We start from the raw sequence: 20,843 nt of genomic DNA, 5'->3' as shown, positions 1-20,843 counted from the left end.
GTTTTAATATGGCGCCAAGGGTGCCAGAAGGAGGGAGATGAGGATGCCATGGGAGCACTTCAGAAAGCACAACCCAGCCTGGAAGGGCAGGGCAGTCGGAGAACGCCTTGCAGAGGAAGCGGTGCCTTATTAACTAGGACATGGATACGTCACATATCAAAGAGGAAGGGGAAAAAGTGTTCAAGGTTATGTTCCAAGGCCCGAAGCGGGTGGGGGAATGGAGTCTTTGAGGATCTGAGAAGTTGGGCGTGTTTGAATAGGAGAGCCGAGACAGGAAGAGTGGGAAGTAAACAAGGAGGAGGAAATGAGGATGCTTCTCAGGATGCTGACTGGAGCAACTGGGACACTGGTGGTCCCATTTACTTAGATGAGGAGCCTGGGAGAAGAGGGTTTGAGGAGGGTGGGGTGGCAACAACTCGAGTTTTTAATCCGCCACTAACTCTGTAACATGGGAATGATTTTTTTTTAATGTTTTTGAAGGATGTCAAAAGCTAATGGAAATTTGAAAAGTTAATTAGCAGCTTTAAGTGATTTCATTACTGTAGACTATCATGACATCCTGCAAATATACTCTGACCTCTTAGGTTCTGCCGATTTTATTTTTCATCCAGTAACTAGTTCTTAGTTTTGATACTTAGCATCATCTTAGTGCTTAAAATTGACCAGTTTTGTGCCTGAAGATGTGGTACCCATGAGTGAAGCAGTCTAGTGACTTGATTGAAGGTTGTATTCTGGCTTATCCAACACTCCTGTGCCCTCTTCCTTAAATTTCCTGTGCCCTGATGGAAGTTTTTATTCTAATGTTGCATAGACTCATTCTACAGAGCATGTATTATTTTTTTTAGATGGCTAAAGGCAGAATTGGTAAATATGATTGGACCGTCTGTAGGCAGGTGTATGCTGTTACAGAATTTTACGAGATACAGGCCTTATTCGAGGAAAGTTGCTGCATGGTGAACATTGTGCTCCGTGATGATGCTGTCATCCAGAACATATGGGGAACAAATGCGATTGTGGGGTCAAGGAACTGAACTTCCTCCTAACCATCTCCCCAGCCACTGCCTTTCCTCATGCCCCCTAATAGGCCTGAAATAGCCAACAGTGAGCCTTGTCAATTACTCCTCGTTTACTGTAGAGCAACCCAGCAACTAGGGAGCATCCCAGCTTACGTGCCCCCTTTTTTGTCTTTGGCAGGAATTTAGATAATGGGCTGTGTGCAATGTAAGGATAAAGAAGCAACAAAACTGACGGAGGAGAGGGACGGCAGCCTGAACCAGAGCTCTGGGTACCGCTATGGCACAGACCCCACCCCTCAGCACTACCCCAGCTTCGGTGTGACCTCCATCCCCAACTACAACAACTTCCACGCAGCCGGGGGCCAAGGACTCACCGTCTTTGGAGGTGTGAACTCTTCGTCTCATACGGGGACCTTGCGTACGAGAGGAGGAACAGGTAAGCCCCCAAAGTCACAGAGTGCAGAGAGGGGGCAGCCACCCTTAAATCTTTTGGCAATTGAACATCTGGGTTCCCATCACTTCCCTTTGACTAGGGGTTTCACATGTAAGTTTCTAATCTGTCTCCTCTACTAGATGAGGGGTTGTAAGAAAAGCCAGAGTTTGATGTACAAACAAAATGCTTGGCTACAGGGTTGCAAGGTGCCCCAAGTTGCTGCTTTCTGAGGATTCTATATGGGTTAGTGAGCTACAACATTCTACTGAGGCACTGTAGGTCAATGACTCTCAGCCTCACCTGGCTGGTTGGCACAGAAGAACTAGGGCAGCCTTTTCAAAACACGGATGCCTGAGCCATGTCCCAGTCTTTTGAATTAGAGGCTCCAGGACTGGGTCTGGGTGTGTGTATTTTGAGTTCTCTAGATATTAATGTACTCCCTCTTCCCACTCACTTCTTCCTAATCCTCAGCCTGCCTTTCTTTTTTTTTTTTTTTTGGAAGTTTCCTTGTCTTTCATACCACAAGGCTATATTCTGCTGCCATGTGTATTTGCTGACTTAGCTAATACTTTGTAAAATATCTGGCGTACGTTCTCAGACATATGTTTTCCGAAATATTTGTAAGTTATGTCATGCATCCCTAGTCATCCAAATTTTCTCTGAGTATGTGAACCATGGTAACTAGATATTTCACATTATTTGTTCCAGAATTATTTTGTTTATTGCAAAAGTTTGAAAGAATGCAGCATCTCTCAGTTCATCTGGCAGCAGATGTCTTATATAAAAGTTTGAAAGAATCCAGTATCTCTCAGCCCATCTGGCAGCAGGTACCTTTTCACCTAGGGAGGAGGCACTACTAAGGCATTAGCAAGTTTTTTTTCCCTCTGCACCCAACACACATCACACATCAGTGTAGTTGTATCAAGGAGCCTGACCCTGAGCCTTTGGACATTATCTACTTCTCTTCTGCTAGCATAGCACACTCTGCCCAGTAGAAGAAGTATTTATGTTCACCCTCATGCTGTGGTGACTCTAGCTTTCCTTTTAACCCAGGCCTTGCATGGGTTGAATACGTGCTAAGTACCTTTACCCATCCTTCCCACCTTCCCAAAGGTGCCTGAAGAGACACAGACAGGCAGTCTAAGGCCATCTGTCTTCTGATGATGCAGGAGAAAAAAAGAGGCAAACACAACCCCCATCCTTGTGCCTACCGTGAGAAGCATAAGGGCTTTGCCAGCCCAGACTGTTAATTCTACTGACACAGCCATTGTCCTTGTTCATTCATTCACGAGTGCTGGATATGGACCCCTGGGTCTGCAGGTATCATTCATTAAAGTCACTAGAGAGGGCCACTTGTGTTGAGCATGTGGGTCTCCACCGTAGTCAGGAGGAGTCTTTGTTTAAGAGGCTACCTGATCCCTTATAAAATTTGAAAGTTAAAACACAGTACTCCCAAATGTTGGCAGATTTTTCTGCCTTGAGTTATTTGGTTTTAATATATATGCATGTCCTTTCTCCCAATACTGCCTTCAGTCCTGTAAGGCCAAGAACAACGTCTGTGTTTCTCTGTAACCTCCTTTGATTCTCCCCTCAGCTCCTGGAACATGGAACATAAAAGCCCTCAGTGAGAACTTGTCAGCTGATGCAAGGAGAGAGTGGGGTGCTGGTCTTCATGTGCCTTGCCTTCCACACAGTGGGGCTGGCTTGGCTTCATTTTTAAATTGTTTTTAAAGAAGGGAATCTGGTCATGGAGTGTTAAATAAGAATAGGCATGACCTTACGGGCACCCACATTTTTGTTTTAAGCCAATCTCTTTTCTTACCTTTCAAAGAAATCTAAGGAAAGAAGGAAAGTTGCCAAATGAGCCTAGCTTTGCATGGTCAGACCTCTGAATGCTAACTCTCCTGAGGAAAGTCCCACTTGGGATGGGGCAGAAAGACAAGCCCCACTCTTCTCTGTGGTCCTTGAATAGTGCCATGACACATTTCTTCCCTTGGAACTACCTACACAGCAAATTGGCAGCTTGGTAAAAAAGGTGGACTCTGGCCGGGTGCAGTAGCTCATGCCTGTAATCCCAGCACTTTGGAAGGCTGAGGTGGGTGGATCACTTGAGCGCAGGAGTTTGAGACCATCCTGGCCAACATGGCGAAACCCCGTCTCTACTAAAAAATACAAAAAATTAGCCAGGCGTGGTGGTGGGCGCCTGTAATCCCAGCTACTCGGGAGGCTGAGGCAGGAGAAGTGCTTAAACCCGGGAGGCGGAGGCTGCAGTGAGCCGAGATCACGCCATTGCACTCCAGCTTGGGCAACAAGAGTGAATCTCCATCTCAAAAGAAAAAAAAAAAAGTGGGCTCCCTGTCATTTCTGTAGGTCATAGCAGGCACTCTGAAGTGCAGAGAGACCAGAATGAAAAGGCAGACTGCAGGGAACTACTATTAGTTATCAACTGCTGTATAACAAATTGCCACAAAACTTAGCAGCTTAAAACAAAACACATTTAATTTCTTTTTTTTTTCAATTTCAGATGTTTTTTATTCAGAGGTTCTTAAAAGAAATAAAACAGAAAAGCTAACAGTCTGATCAAACATACAGCTCAAAAATGTCTTTTGACGTTTAACAACAAGTCCTAGGAAAGAAAACTACAGAGTTATCTTGAATGGGGTAAATAAGTTACCACTGGCAAGTCTGTGGCACTAGTAAAACAAAAATAAAAAATTAAATCTCGGCCAGGCGCAGTGGCTTACACCTGTAATCCCAGCACTTTGGGAGGCTGAGGCAGGCAGATCACGATGTCAGGAGTTCAAGACCAGCCTGCCCAACATGGTGAAACCCCGTCTCTACTAAAAATACAAAAAATTAGCTGGGCATGGTGGCAGGCACCTGTAATCTCAGCTACTCGGGAGGCTGAGGCAGGAGAATCACTTGAACCCGGGAGGCGGAGGTTGCAGTGAGCTGAGATTATGCCACTGCACTCCAGCCTGGGCGACAAGAGTGAAACTCCATCTCAAAAAAAAAAAAAAAAAATTAACTCTCTTGATCATATAGATATCTCTATATCTCTTTTTTTCAATCGGGTACAAAAGATCTTTCTTCATAATTTTTTTTATAATTTAATGGCTATCTACTATATGATGTTTAACTAATTTTTTTTTTAATATACAGAGGTTATGTTTCCCAAATCTTACCCAGACGAGTATGGCACTTAGTTAGACATTTCTGGCAACAGATTTCCCCTCCCCTCTAACCAAACTATCAAATTTCTGCCTTAACTAATGCAGAAGTATCAACTAGTGGGAGACCCAGGTTTATAACTGTACTAGGTACACAGAGGGTGCTGCGTTCAGCCTGGGCTTTCACAAAGCAGTAATATTCCAGGGAGCATAGAACCAGTGATACCGTGACTTTTAAAAAATAAAACAAAAACAAATTTATCTTATGACTATGTAATTTTCACTAGAATCTACACTTCTCAGAGCAGCCAGGACTTTGGAAACTATGAAATGTCACTGACATTTATCATCAAATACAAGCATAAAATGTAAGAACTAAAAAATACTCAAAAGAAATAACTGCTTAGCCCTAGCTTCTGAGCTAGGAGGATTTGGGCTGTGGAAACAGGGAGGGCCAGCAACCTGTCCCAGCACAAAAGAAAATAGACTCTGAGGTAGATAACTGATCATACACAGCTGACCAGACAAGTACACAGTTTTGGAAGGCAACTTAATTTACCATTGCTTTTAAGACATATGCAATTGCCTTAATAAAAGAGCTTTAATAACAGTGTATTATCTTATATGTACTAAAATAGAAATAACTGTGTATTTATGAATCAGGAATTTCATAGTTTCAAAACTGGTTTTCTTTACACTTGAACACTTGTAGTGATGACATAAAGTGTGGCACCGCTTGGATCCAAATCTTCCTTCATGCTTTTTTGTTTATGTGTGTCCATACATCAATTAAAATTATAAAACCTAAATTTACAGTTTCTGTGGGTCAGGAATCTGCGAATGGTCAGTTCGGTCCTTCAGAATCTCTCACAGGCTGTAATCAAGGTACGTTGGCTGGGCTATAGTCATCTCACAGTTTAGCTGAGAATGATCTGCTTCCAAACTCATGTAGTGCTGGCAGGATTCGGTGCCTCGCTGGCTGTTGGCCAGAGGCCACCCTCAGTTCTTGGTCACATGGGCCTCACCAGCATGGCGCCTTGCTTCATCAAAGTACACAAGCTGAAGTGGCAATAGAGAGAGTCTGCTAGAAAGACGGAAGTCACCATCTTTTGAAGCCTAGTCACTTAAGGGACTGCACATTCTGTTGAGTAGAAGCAAGTCGTTAGATCCAGCCCACACTCAAGGGGAGGGGCTTGCACGAGACTGAATACTAGGAGGCAGGAGTCACTGGGGACTATGCTAGAATTATGCCTGTTGGGTTGGGCACAGTAGGTCACACCTATAATCCCAGCACTTTGGGAGGCCAAGCCAGGGGGATCACTTGCACCCAGGAATTCGAGACCAGCCTGGGCAACATAGTGAGACCCCCGTCTCTATTTGAAAAAAAAAAAAGAATTATGCCTAATTATATGGAGGAAATCCTAGGCCAAATGACACTGGATATTCTCTGCTGCTGCTAGCAAACTTCTGTAAACCAGGAAGGGCCTCTCTAGAGAGCCAGATGAGAGGACATAGGGTGGGTGTGAGGAAGAGTGAGTGCTACAAGACAGTGTGAGGAGAGGTGAGTTCAAGGTAGGGGGAGGACAAGGGAGAGGGTTCCATTTTCAGCAGTGGGGCGAGCAGCACAAAACTGCAAAATGAACTGCAGATGCCAAGGGCAGTACATCCTCTAATTGGGGTGAATATTACAGAAACGGTCTTCTCTAAATTTCCCCAAGCTGCAGGAGGCATTTCCTATTACGTTCTATGTTACTGTTTTACCAGGAGAAAGGGTGGTGCATTTTACCCAGAAACTAACATAGGCTCCAAGTGGAGGAGAAGATACGACCAGCAAAGGATGTCAGTAACTGCTGCAGAGCCCTGCAAACCTGAACCCTGACGCTGACGCTGCCCTTTTGTTTGGGATGCAATTTTAATATTTCCCTGCTCCTCAGCCCTCATTAAAAGCTATTACAGAAAGAAGCCCTTCAGGTCTAGGTTTCTTTCAGATACAGTAAGGCTTCCCCTACAAAGACCAAGGCATAAACACAGCCCTGTGACTGTGGTTTTGACACGTTAATTACAACACTTCATCATGTTATTAGTGCTGGCTAGATGTAGATTGTGAGAATGAGATTTTAGTGAAGATTTAATTTCTTGGAATTAATTTCCCCTTGTGTAATAATCTCCCTTCTTGTGAATTTCGTTTCGGCAGGAGTGACACTCTTTGTGGCCCTTTATGACTATGAAGCACGGACAGAAGATGACCTGAGTTTTCACAAAGGAGAAAAATTTCAAATATTGAACAGCTCGTAAGTTTGGAGAGGGAGGAGAAGCATGTATACCTTTCAGGTTGGGAAGGGGTCTTGCATTTCTGGTCTGCATCTCTTCAGATGTCTGAAATGCTAAAAGAACATTTGCTAAATTCACTGGTTTACAACAATATACTTTGAGAAAAAGAAGAGTCAGTGACACAGTGCAGTATTTTATGGCACTGTGTGTCCAAGGAGATTTTTGGAGAGTACCAAAAATACTAGCACAGTCCATGTTTATTGGTTTTGGTTTAGGTTTAAAGGTTGTAAAATCACCAGCATCGCTCTCCACAGCCCTGAGTGTTTCTACAAACCTACAGTTTCAAGTGATTGGCACAAGCCTTGGCTACCCACGTTTCGTGCTCTCTGCCTTGAGATTTTCTTCACATTTCAGATGTTACACTAGCTAAGCCCTCACTTGAGGCTTGCAACAAGTTCTTTATTTTATAAACTGCTAAACATTTCTTTGGTGAAGCCTGTGGAGGCGTTTCCCTATAACAAAAATTTGGGAGTGACTGGAATCTTTTGGAGCTAGAAGAAGTGATTTTACCCACTCTTGAATGAATATGCTGCATGGTTGTTTAATGTTGGCCAGGAGGAACAACAGTTAAACAAGCAGTGGGGAGATTTCAAGAGTGAGGATCACTCACTTTTCAAATCCTACATTCAGTACCTCCATAAGAAGAGTAAACACGGGTCAGATTTTCTTAGGGTTTATAAATACTGCCTCTATTAGATTGAGGCAGTGTATGTGGATGAGGCCCTTCAGAAAAAAATCTAGGTTCTGAAGAAAGTGTGGGGGGGTGGGGTTCCACATCAGCAAGCCAGGCATCTCCAGCGTCCCTATGAGTGCTCCCGGTGGTTGGGAAAGAATGCCACCCAGGGGCTGAGGGGCACACCAGGAAGTTCTTCTATGCCACCAAGTCTGGTTGCTTCTCCTCTGCTCTCTGAGCAAATCAGATTCCATGTTGGCAGAAGGACTTGGAGCCAGGCTCCTCAGCTTTCCCAGAAGGATATGCCAGAGGGAGTAAGAGGCAGCCCTGGTCACACTGCACATCCCAGGAAAGAGGAGTGCTGATTGCCACAGGGACCTCCTTCAGGCCTGAAAACTGCCTCCTTGGAAAGCCCACCCTTTTCTTGAATGCCCCCTGGCTCACAGAACCATGCAGTGAGAATATGCCGCCTTTCAACAGCAAGAACTGAATACTGCCATAAAGGGCCAACGACTCTCTTCGAGACATCAGAAGGCACAGTCTACATAGCCACAGGGTTTTCAAACATATATTAGGATTGTCATCATTAACAAAGGTGTGGGGTGGTGTTTTTTTAACTTTTTGTTGGAACACATGCAGAAAAGTGCACGTATCAAAAGTGTACACAGTGATGTTGCACAACAGTGTGAACGTACTTACTGCCGCTCAACTGTACACTTAAAAATGATTAAAATGATAAATTTTATGTTGCCTATATTTTACCACAATTTTCAAAAAGTATACAGTTTGCTGAATTTTCACAAGCTGAACATGCCTGTGTGGCCACCAGCCAGGTCAAGAAGAGTGTTACCTGCCCCCCAGGAGTCCTCCTCCTGTAGCCACAGGAAGTTTTTAAAAAATAATAAACAGCTACCATTCATTGAAGGCTCCTGATGTACCAGCCATGAGCTAAGTTACAAACATTCTCATGCATTCTTCCACTACTGTCTGAGGTATGCATCGACGTCATCGTTTGATATCTGAGGAGCCAGAGGCCCAGATTAGGAAACTGCCCCAGAGCACAGAGCTGGCAGGTGGCAGAGCCCAGGGCGAGGTGCAGGGAGGCATCCTGAGAACAGTGTCAGGTTTGATCTGGGAAAGGCCCAGATACTTTATCAAAGGGGATGGGAACCTTCAAGTGACAGGAAGCTTTGGAGAGTTGACTGGGGCTGGGGAGGAGGGGATTGGGCTTTGATCTCTCTGGGTATACCTCCTTGCTGTTATTTTGCTGCTTGTTGGAGTCCATTAACTTTGAATTCTGAAATCCTCCGCCCCTTAGCCTCCCCTACATGCCAAGGTTGATTAGAAATTTCAAGACTATTTGTAAACTTTCAACTGCAAGAACCAAGGAATAGTAAGAGTGCAGACCCAGCTCTCAGGAGGCTTTGTCCACACTGCACGTGCGTCTGTGCATTACGCTGGAGGGCGTTGGAAAGTCAGTCCCTGCCAGTGTCAGTCCCATGGCTTCTTCCTTTGTTAATCTGGAAACGATCTGCAGTGTCACCAAATTGAAATTTTAGAGAAACACTTAAGGAGGATCCAATCCGTCTCAATCTCTATTTTGTGACTTCCATGCACGGCCTTTGATGTTTACGGAGTCCTTTGAGCCTCCAACCCTGTTCTTGTAGAGGAAAATATTACAAAGGTTCTCTTCCTCTTAATGTTCTTCCTTTCTGCCAATGGAATTCCATATCAGTGGAATTTTAAAATTCCCTTTCTCAAGGTTATAGAAAAGAAAAATAAGGTTTGTGTAACAAGACAATATCCTGAAGTCAAGGGTAATAACAGGGAAGAGAAAATCGTGAAGGAAAAACAAAGCAATAATACAGAAGCAGATGGCACACGGCTCCTCCCCTCCCCCATCCTCTCCCGCCTCTGGCTCTGGTCCTCAGAGGAGAGGGAGGAATGGGGCTCTGTTCTGCCAGGGCAGCTGCCACACCTCCTAGTGTGTGTCCTCCCACTCCCTTCCCTGGTGGAGCCCTGGTGGCGCTGGAGGCCACAGGGCTGGCTTTGTTAAAGTACAACATACACCGTGGGATGTGCATGTATGTATGTACCCAGAGGCGGTGTTCCTGCTACCCAGCAAGGGGCAAAGGTGCTTCATTGACCCGTTGTAAGTGCTCAGTGTCATGTATTAGGACATTATTAAATTTGAACCCCTTTTGCAAAGTATTTAAGTTCATCCATTTTATTCCTTGTTTTCACATTTCAAGACTAGTCGTTTACCATCTACGAACAGTGACTCTTTAAAATGTAATACATGTTTTACACAGAGTGGAGTATTGGTCACAGCTGAGGGTAGGTTTGTTGTTTTTTTTTTCCTATTGTGATAAAAAGAAATCCTGGTTTAGAGCCCCACCCAAGCATTTGATAAAATTGTTACCGACATAAAATGCTACACTACTGAGCAGATCAAGGCTGACTTCTGTTGGCAAATAACTACTCCCTGGCTCCAAGGCTCTAGGGCTCCCAGCTCCGGGGCCCACAAGCCTACGAGCAACTTTGGGGTTTGGGGGTAGACACTTTTCTTGGTGTGGGGTGTGGTGGGGGCACAGAATCTTTTAGCAAGTCTTTAAATCAGAGGAACAGAGACAGCTGTTATAAAACCTTAAAAGCCATTCTAAACCAGCGCCAGGCTTTAAATCATATATTTGAATTAGAGCAAGATAACAAAGAATATCTCACCAAGTGCAAACTGAAAAATCTGAACTATAAGAACCGTTTAAAGAAATACAGCTTTAACAATGCTAATTACCCACAGTAACTCAAGAAATAAAAGATAACATAGTAGAGATCCTATTTTCCTAAATCAACATGAATATAGAGTATATCTATTTATAGGTGAATTGGTGCTTCTAGTGTATCAAAAAGATGACTTAATTCACTCGCTCAACGGCTCTCAATGAATATTTTGAGTCTGTACCAGCCTCTCTAGGCTCAACATGTGAGGTTTACTACATAATAAACATTGAATCTTTGTCACTTTATGTCTCCTTTGATGAAGAAGATGACCCTAGAAAGCCTAGAAAAAGAGAAATCAAGGATTTTATCTTTCTCATGAGTAGCTGAAAACCCTTGTGAGATTAATAGGGTCAAGTGAGAAAATCATGAATTCCTGATTCATGACTTCAGAATGAGCTGATAATTGCATTCTGATCTGTGCTACACTATTTAGGTACCTAGACCAAAATGAGATAGTTAATGCTAGATTTGAATTGGAAATGACTTCATTAATGCCAGATCACCTGAATAAGGCTGGGCTTGTCCCAACCTGCAGCAAAATGTATTGGCTTCCCGCCCCTATTGACAGTCTCAGATACCCTAAAATTGATGCTAGCCATTTTTTTCTTAATTTAATTCAATTAGAACTAACTTGATGAAGGTTATCTTGCATTAAAAAACAATAAGCCTCTGCTACAAGCACTTAATTTTTTCCTCGCCATTTTGGAGCATTTCCCAGGCTGGGCGGGAGAGGGTGGAGGGGGAGGAGCTGGGTATTGTTATTTTTAATGATGAAATGTCTCCATCTAGTGGAACTTCAGAGCAGTAAACCTTGTCACTATATTAAAGTGAAGATTATGTCTCCAAAGCCATTTTCCTTAAACACATACAGTGTTTAAAGAAAAAAATAAACTTCCACATATGTTCTTAGATGATATCCTTACAACTGTATGTATTCCTTTTGGAAGGCATAGAAATGAGACCAGTACAAACTGTTAACATTTTTAATGTCATGATTTGAACCTCAAAGAGAGGGGTGCTTACAATAGGGGAGCAGCACAGTGCAGATCCCACCCAGTTGGTAACGATCTAGCTCTTAAGTTGGGCAGTGGGTTCACGGGGTTCATATATACTGTACCTATATTCTTCAGTATGTATAAATATTTCCTAACAAAGATCTAGACATGAACTAAATTTAAGATTATGAATAAATCTAGACATGAACTAAATTTTATGAATAAAGAACTTTCTGAATATGAGTACTGTACTTTTGCTGGATTTGTAATAGGGTAAAAAGGAGAGATTAGGAAACTAAATTAAAGCATAAGGTTTTAAAAACCTTTGCTGGCACCTTGGTTTTTTTTGTGGGCTATTCTGTTACTTATGCCACCAAACATTTTCCCACAGCAGCACCCCCAGCACATGCTGGCTGGTCACCTTTGTTCTGTTGCTCTATTAAATCCTATCTGGAGGCGTTGCTCACTGCTCACCTTGCTCAGAGAGTCCAGCTTTAGAGAGCGGCCTCTGGAGTAATGCTTGAGTTTAATGTGGAGGCTGATTATTCTCTACCTGATTAAATCTGTCTGGGGAGCATCTTTACCATGGCCAGAAGCTAACACATTTTTTTTTTCCCCTGGCTGAAAGCTTTGACACAGAACTCAGCCAAAAGAACGATTTTTTTTTAAAATGCCTGAAGTTTTGCTTGCTGCCTCCAAGGACCAAAAAAGGAGGAAAAGAAGGTCCTGAGCCCCAGGAGATCAGATTTGCTGGGAGGTCTGATTTGCTTGAGGGCAATCATGTCGTTGACTGCAGGCTGGTGGAAGGTTCTGCAGATACTCAGTGGATGTCAGAGCCGCAGCGCCACATCCATGGCCTCCCCGATGTTAATGGGAAGAGGTACACACTCCATTCCTGCTCTTCATCACAGGTAGCCCTGTTTGAATCTAAGCAGATGAATTTGAACTGCTTAATGTACTCACTGGCTTTAAGATGAGAGTAGCTACAAGATCCCCTTTCACCTCCTCTGAGAGCTCCCCAGATTGATACCACACTGCTGTGCTGTGGCATGGAGCCTAAGGCAGTACAAAGTGGCGTGACTAAAAATCTCACTCCCTTGCCGAGTTTCTGTGCTTCACCTGTGCGAGCACACGCAGCCATTCCCATCCTCACCCCTTGCCCATGAGCCTCAGGCCAGTGCTCTGGACATTTGATGGAATCACTTCAGACTGAAAATGCCTGGGGAAGGTGATCCTACTGTAGCATCATTCTACCTGCAGAGAGGTGTCTCCCCATCTTTTTGAGAGCAAGCCAGGCACGTGTTTAGAGCATGCCTTCATCCCTCATCAGACCTCCTAACCTCCCAATGTTAAGATGTTAACATTTCTAATGTCATGATTTGAACTTGAAAGAGAGGGGTGCTTACAATAGGGAAGCAGTACTGTGCAGCTCATATTGACCTCAGACCTCCTAAAAAGCTTCCCTTCCCAGATGATCTGCAGCTAACATGTTCTGCTTAATTAGGCTGAGGCTGGATTCCTTTTCCATCCATCCAAGTTAAGGACACTAACCAAGCAAAATGCCCCCTACCAAGAGAGACTTCTCATGGCCAGGATTCCACATTCTTAATTCACAAATAAGGCAAGAGACAACTGTGGGTTCATCTCATGGCTGACTCGAACTGGAACCTTCTGACCTTCACAGGGGGACTATGTTGGAGTTCAGAGTAAAGGAATAGGTTGGAGAAATCGGGTGGCAGGATGATTAGGTGACAGTTATACACTTCAGACCACAGTGAGTCTCTAACTGCAAGCTGTTGAAATGGTCAACATATTTACTTTTCTTTTTTATTTACAGGGAAGGAGATTGGTGGGAAGCCCGCTCCTTGACAACTGGAGAGACAGGTTACATTCCCAGCAATTATGTGGCTCCAGTTGACTCTATCCAGGCAGAAGAGTATGTTTCATTTTGTTTTCACTTAACTACTTGATTTTAAAAGTTGATTGCCGCAATAAAATGCCATCAGCATTGGGCAGGAGGGAGAAGAAATTCACAGCAGTGATTAAGGCTGAGTTTTTCAGGCTTTCTGCCCCGGTTTTTACCCTGTGTAATACTTGCACTATTATTAACTTAATGTTTCTCTTGAAGCCTGCTCACTTATTTTGAAAGAAAACTTTCTATCAATACCCTAAATGAAAAGCCAGTAAAACTTGTCATAGATTAAAAGTAGCCATAAAAATATGAAATGCTAGCTAGAGCATATATTATTGCCAACCCAAGTTTCTAAGCCCGCAGTCCACTCCCTCTGTTGGGAAGAGAGGGGAGAGTAGCAAGTAATTGCCACAGATTAAACTAAGATTTTTCTCCTAAGTGTGATCAGAAATATTAAAAGAGTGCTGAAAAGACACCTTCTATGCCCGGTAAAAGTGACTCACATACAGTGTGTCCCCCCAACTTGGGAAATACTACAGTGATTTGGAACCTCAGTTGGCTTCTTTGGTAGTAAACAGTGACGAGCAGTTATTTGGCCCAACTATTCAACTGGTAGCAGTTTAGGAAGGTGTTCAGTAGGCTGAAGGGATCTAAAAGGGATAACCTTTCTCCCTTCTTCTGACCCATGAGGATTAACAGGCACTCCCAAGGGGAAGAACTGCCAGTGGCTGTTTGCCAGCCCTGAGGGAAGGAGAGATGGAGCCATGATTTCCCAAATGCAGGAACTTGGCCTCCTCCTGACACCTTGGGTCTTGCCTCTCTAAAAAGGAAGTTGAGAAAAGTCAGTCACCAAGCCCAACCTTTGGCTCTGCTATTTAATTTCACCATGGATTTGTTTAAGTAGTGCAAGAGGGATTAGACTCCACACCCTAGCCAAATCCCCAGTTGGATTGTTCTATTCTTTAATTCCTTTGTATTTCCTCTAAGAGGATCTGTTTTGTTTCCCACTCTCAAATACTCAGTGGTTCTTAGTTGTTTCTTTCTCCTAGTGACTGTGTTTCGTCATCAGTGAATCAAGGTATTTGTATTTAATTTGTATTTTAGGGCAGATTTGCAAACATCTTTGTGTTCTTTCAGAATAAAAAGTACCACCAAAATGTAGCATTACCCTGATTTAACTGGGAATTTGTCAGCTATATATTTAAGTTATTTTTATAATGGTCAACTTTTTAAATATTTTGTTTTTAAAGAATATTATTTTTTAAAATAATGCCTTCGGTTTTACATATGCAATTAACTATCATTATCTTAAAATACTATTGTTTTGGTGCAATCCATTGTTCTAACAATTCCTTTTTCACCACTGTTTTACACGGCATTCTAATTGGGTTATTGGTACAAACCCAGAAAGCCATTTCTCACAAATAATTGACGTACTAGTCTTTACGCCACCTAATGCTAGATTAAGAATTGTTGCACATTTTGGTGTTTCTAAAAGTCACTGAGGAGCTAATACGCAATGTCTCTTTTCTTCAGTGAAACTTAATTCACAAAAGAATTTGACAGTGAACTCATGATACCTATATTCAAGCATAATGAATTGAAATTTCATTTTAGAATCTGGATTCTTTCACAGTTAAATATTCTAAAAATGGTTCCCACACACAGATTCCAATTGAATGCTCCAGCATTCTCCCTTGGGTTTTGGGGGCACCTGCTGCTCATTCAGCACCTAGTGCTGAAATAGTAACTAATTGCCAGGCTTGGTTAAGGCTTGAAAGTGCAGGGGGAGGATATAAGGCAAATAACAAAAGTCTTGAGGTGACTTAATGTGATGCCTCCTAAAGTGGCACAGAGTATCATTAGTTTCTTCAGGGATAATATATTGAAATATCTGCAACACCAAGTCATTTTAAGGGCATGCTTTTTGACTGGGCACAGATCTCAAAGGTGTACAGTAACCAGTTCTTACAGTTGTGCCAAAGAAAAGATGTACAGGGTCCACCGTGATGGCTCCCTCCTGTAATCCCAGCACTTGGGAGGCCAGGGCGAGAGGATCACTTGAGCCCAGGAGTTTGAGACCATGCTGGGCAACATAGGGAGACAGTCTCACTCTGTCCCCAGGCTAGAGTGCAGTGGCCCTGTCTCAGCTCACTGCAACCTCCACATCCCTGGTTCAAGCAATTCTCGTGCCCCAGCCTCCCGAATAGCTGAGATTACAGGCACATGCCACCATGCCCAGCTAATTTTTGTATTTTCAGTAGAGTTGGGATTTCACCATGTTGGCCAGGGTGGCCTCGAACTCCAGACCTCAGGTGATCTGCCTGCCTCAGCCTCCCAAAGTGCTGGAATTACAATCATGAGCCACCACTCTTAGCCTCTACAAAAAAAATTTTTTTAGTTAGCAGGTGTGGTGATGTGCACCTTTAGTCCCAGGAGGCTGAGGTAGGAAGATTGCTTGAGCCTGGAGAGGTCAAGGCTGCAGTGAGCTATGATTATGCCACTGCACTCCAGCCTGGGTGACAGAGTGAGACCCTGTCTCAAGAAAAAAAAAAAAAAAAGAAGAAGAAGATGATGAACACAGATCACAATCCAGGTGCTTGGTAAATAAATGCCTTTACTTATCCAAGTCCTCACACACCTAGGGGAGGAAAACAAAATACAAGTAAGTACTCATGGGCGTTTTTCTCAGAATTCTTATAGGGAGGAAGTTATTGAAAATACTATTCCTTTATTCATATCATATCTATCTAATCTGACTTTTTTTAATGCTTGATTATCTTCATATACATTAAGACTGTGTTTTGTTATTTCCCAGCAGTTACAATAATGCTTAGATATCAAGAGATTCAAGAGTTTTGTTTTTTTGTTTATTTTTTGTTATGAGACAGAGTCTCGCTCTGTTGCCCAGGCTGGAGTGCAGTGGCGCAATCCTGGCTCACTGCAACCTCCACCTTCCAGATTCAAGCAATTCTCCTGCCTCAGCCTCCTGAGTAGCTGGGATTACAGGTGCATGCCACCACACCCAGCTAATTTTTTGTATTTTTAGTGGAGATGGGGTTTCACCATGATAGCCAGCATTGTCTCCATCTCCTGACTTCATGATCCACCCACCTTGGCCTCCCAAAGTGCTAGGATTACAGGCATGAGCCACCATGCCTGGCGTTTGTTTTTTTTGTTTTGTTTTGTTTTGAGACACGGCTTTGCTCTGTCACCCAGGCTGGAATACTATGGCACAATCTCAGCTCACTGCAGCCTGGGCCTCCCAGGTTCAAGTGATTCTCCTGCCTCAGCCTCCCGAGTACCTGGGATTACAGGTGCCCACCACCACACCAAGCTAATTTTTGTATTTTTAGTAGAGCTGGGGTTTCACCATGTTGGCCAGGCTGATCTCAAACTCCTGACCTCAGGTGATCTGCCCACCTCGGCCTCCCAAAGTGCTGGGATTACAGGTATGAGCCACCATGCCCAGACTAGAGTCTTTTAGATAAGTGTGGAAAGGGTCTCCTGCAGTAACCATTTCAAATCAAGGTCTTAGATTTCTGGTTTTTTGCATACAGGTGGCAGTTTTAACACAAACCAGTTCTGGTCATGTCTAGAGGGGAGGAAAACAACCCACAACTCAAATCTGATTTTTTTTAAAGAGTGAAAGAGATGAATTAGGGATAGAATCCAGGATAGATTGAAAAGGAACTGAATTAAGCTAGAAAAAAAATACATCCAGGGAAAGGTTAAGGACTAAATTGGAGGAGAGGGGAATTCATGGGCAAAAAAAAAGCCTATGCTGTTGCATTTTGTAAATGACTATTTCAAAATATTTTCTTTCCTTGATCTAATTTAAAGGTGGTACTTTGGAAAACTTGGCCGAAAAGATGCTGAGCGACAGCTATTGTCCTTTGGAAACCCAAGAGGTACCTTTCTTATCCGCGAGAGTGAAACCACCAAAGGTAAGATAACGAGTTGAAGAAGTTGGCTTGTCATTCAAATCTGTGGATTAGTCAGAGGGGATGAAAGGCTTATCTCTAATGTACAAGGATTTTAAAATGGCACATACCCTCCCTGCCTTGTGAGTGGAGTCCTGTTTTCAGTCTTCCCTCCAGGCTCTAAAACTGCAGACAGCACCAAAAGAACTACAGAGGCCCCAAATCAAGACCTTCCTCCTGAAACGGGCTGGATGCAGCTACACTGCTCCAGGCACACAAGATCGTAGAATTTTCAGAAGTCCTTTAGAATTTTGATTTTCTGAAATCTTAGTTCCTCAGGTGCCAGTCATACAGGTTGTTTTTGCTTTCCTTTTGTTTTTTAAATAACTGAGGACTTCACTTCTCTTCCTCCAACTGTTGGACTTTTCATTATTTAACAACTCCTTACAACCCACAAGAGGAGACAGGTCAAGGAAGAAAAGAGTAGTGGCCTCTAGCTTAATTTGCCAGATTATCCATTCCTGTAAAAAGTGTTGTAAAGCAGAAGCTTGAAGCTCACTTCTAGAGAAACAAGCCTTAGATTTCTTTTGCACATGCTGCTGCTACCTCCCAGTATGCCCCTGGGTAGAGAAGACAAGGGAAGCAAGCTCAGCCATTCATCGTGGTCCTTCTTTACCCTTGGGGGAAAGGAGTGTTGGAATTGAGTCTACGCTGTATTATGCAACAAGGGGTACCGAACAGTGTGTTTAAGAAAAATGTCCAGGAAGCTTTCAGTCTCAAGGGCAGAATCATTTTATTGCTAATATATTCTGACATTTGCAGAACATCAAGAAGCATCTTCTTCCTGTTACTGAGTGGAGATGCTGTGTGTGTGTACATGTGTGTGTGCATCCTTGGTAATTATTAATCAGAGTCAAGAAAATGAGGCCTAAAAAGCAAGCTGATACTCTAAATGATTGGAGCTGCTAATGCTTTCCACGTTTACCAGGTGCCTATTCACTTTCTATCCGTGATTGGGATGATATGAAAGGAGACCATGTCAAACATTATAAAATTCGCAAACTTGACAATGGTGGATACTACATTACCACCCGGGCCCAGTTTGAAACACTTCAGCAGCTTGTACAACATTACTCAGGTAACCTTAATTCTAACTACCTACTAACCATTTGGATGCTGGAGGGAGTGGATAGGCCCAGAGCAGGAAAGTGGAAAGGGGTAAAACTAATATGTACAAAATCACTTATAGAGTATGTTTTCTTTGCCAGCCCTTAATGGTAGGGCTTGGCTGTATAGGTTCTATTGCTATTGTTCTACTGTTGTTATTATTAGTTCCACATGTTTGTCCGAAGATTCTATAATATTTTTGTTTCCCAAGTAGAAAGCAATAGGTTAAATTTTAAAAGTTGTTTGTTTTTTCATCTTCAAGTTGTCTTTTCCCATTCCCCGCGTTGCATGTGAGAAAGCAGTCTCTCGGAGGGCGCTTACATGGGGACTCCTACAAGGAATATTGTGTTTCCACTATCACTTTACCCTCAGCACTGTTGCAGGAATAGCTGCACGTACATTTCATTCTCATGCAAGCCATTTATCATGTTCCCCACCAATACTGCTGTTTCCTAACTAGGCTTAGACTTACACAACCCACAGCTCTTAGATCTATTATGTCTATTGTGTTAAATTAAACTTTTATAATGTACATCAGTTTCTGTCCTAACACCCAGATATCACCATTATTTTGTTCTTTCTGAAAACATATAATTATTAGATATGCAGTTTATACATTTTATCAAAGACTGGTTTTATGTGCAATTGTTAAAATGATTGCTTTCTTTCCTAGATTAGCAAGTATTATATGCCACTATATAATACATGTTCACATGTGCCTATAGATATAGGTGCACATGTATAGACACATGTCTATATCCTATTAAGCCTAGAGATATTTTTTTGTGTGACCCATTTCTCCATTTTCTATTGTTCTCCAGGACAAAGGCAAGACTCAAAAATAGTATATGATTTACCTCTACTATTGCTCTGTGCACAATCATTGAAATATGTATGTATAATTTTTGGCATGAAAAAGCAATCTTTCGAAAATGACAATAAGAAATGTCTGTTGATCCCTTGCACTAATGAACAATAGAAAATATTAACAGCACTTGCAGTACTAGTTGATTATGGCATTGGCTAACTCGGTTTATGTGGATTCTAATGAAACATTTGGGAGAAATGGAACAAAATATCTCCCTGAGCTTAAGTGATATACTCAAAATGCCTGCATGTTGTAAGGATTTTTCAAATGCTGAAATATATTTCATTACAGCCAAACATCAGCAGGATCCCCAGGGTTTGGATCATTTGAAAATACTGTGTTCGAAAGGGCACCTTAATAACATTGTAAAGCTGGAAGGAAAGAGGGGATATGAACAATAGACACTTTTTTTAATCTCGGGGAAAAAAAATCCATCTCACGTTAGACTTGTTTTTATATTGGCTTTCCCTCTTCCCTCTTTCTCTCTCACACAATAAAATGCCTTTGAAATGCTGACACATAAATAATTTCCTACCTAAACATCTCAGAGCCTGATTCCATCAAAAAGAAAGGAGTAAAAAGCAAGTTACAGCCCAGCAGCACATCTGCTTTCCCTGGGTCCGGGGGCTGCCAGGAGGGAGCGGGAGGTCTGTCCACCTCACAAGGCAGGCTCTGTCAGCTTTTGTCACTCCCTGATTTCTTATTCTTTGTTACCTTTTTTCGCCTGACTGATTTTTACTTGGCATTTAAGTTCCCCTTAGCACTGCCAGATTCTAAAAGGTTATATTCTTTTTAAAAAAGAAGAGAAAGAAAGAAGGAAAGAAGACAAAGAAAGAATAAAAACCTCCGAGTGTTAACTACTTTTTCCTTTCTTCTTTTTTTTATAAAGAATACATTCTTTCACATCTTGAATTTCTGTGAATTTTAGTTTCCATTCTTTCTCCTTTCAAACCAGACACCTAAATTATACGTCGAAGACTGTTAAAAAGTTGTTTTTTTTTTTTTAATGGAAAATATCCAAGAAGCAGCCCAGGAGTATCTGACATGGTGGAATGGAATCAGTTAGAAAGCGAAGAAATCACTAAAAAAAGTTACTTCTTTTTTTCCCCACCAGTTATAATCTTCAACCTTACTAGTTTATAACAGTTTAATGTCCTATAGAAGGATCCTCCACTAAAGTTATAATTTTAAGTATAGTCATATAGAGAGATCCCTAATCCCCTGGGTAATCTAGATACTAAAGGTGGGGAAGAACAGTCATATTGACATTCTTTAATCCAAAACCACTGTTTGAAATTAGTAAGGATATTTTCAGCATTCCCAAAAACATGTTATTAGCACGTTGAGCTGAAAACGTTTTTCTTCCTCAGTGAGTACAGAAACCAAAGCAGTCTGCGTGTATGTCTATGTATAGACTGTATCGTACCTGGGCTCATGGAGTAGTCTAAATTTAAAACGTCCTCTCTTCTACCTCCAATGAAAATGTTTCCGTGTGTGGCGTCTGATCTTCCACCGTGTGTGTGGTCGTCTGCTGGTGTAGCGCTGTTTAAGGAGCGCTGTGTGCTGCTAGTGTT

At 42.4% G+C, this 20,843-nt stretch overlaps 1 protein-coding gene across 21 annotated transcripts in view, besides 1 other annotated feature; it reads left to right on the top strand.

The window, feature by feature from the left end:
- FYN (FYN proto-oncogene, Src family tyrosine kinase) overlaps positions 1–20,843 on the top strand; it is a 213,121-nt gene that overhangs the window by 152,196 nt on the left and 40,082 nt on the right. For 18 of the 21 annotated variants that reach the window (XM_047418569.1, XM_047418561.1, XM_005266892.5 and 15 more), the window contains 5 exons: positions 1,195–1,452; positions 6,814–6,910; positions 13,237–13,335; positions 17,155–17,258; positions 18,223–18,372. In XM_047418569.1, the coding sequence (XP_047274525.1) occupies positions 1,206–1,452; positions 6,814–6,910; positions 13,237–13,335; positions 17,155–17,258; positions 18,223–18,372 (697 nt within the window). In that variant the 5' untranslated portion in view covers positions 1,195–1,205. Of the gene's footprint in view, positions 1–845; positions 1,102–1,194; positions 1,453–6,813; positions 6,911–12,200; positions 12,311–13,236; positions 13,336–17,154; positions 17,259–18,222; positions 18,373–20,843 lie in introns of those variants that run through there. The other 3 variants (XM_047418571.1, XM_047418565.1, XM_047418573.1) reach the window with 2 other exon arrangements.
- Positions 10,898–11,027: an enhancer, noted in NCBI's record as "active region_24951". NCBI's record gives its function as "activates an Ori minimal core promoter by ATAC-STARR-seq in GM12878 lymphoblastoid cells {active_cell/tissue: GM12878}" and the evidence as "EXISTENCE:reporter gene assay evidence [ECO:0000049][PMID:35858748]".

The sequence above is a fragment of the Homo sapiens genome, chromosome 6, assembly GCF_000001405.40.
Source record: "Homo sapiens chromosome 6, GRCh38.p14 Primary Assembly".
NCBI lineage: Eukaryota > Metazoa > Chordata > Mammalia > Primates > Hominidae > Homo > Homo sapiens.
The sequence above is the reverse complement of the archived record's forward strand: the minus strand, read 5'-3'. Positions and strand labels throughout refer to the sequence as shown.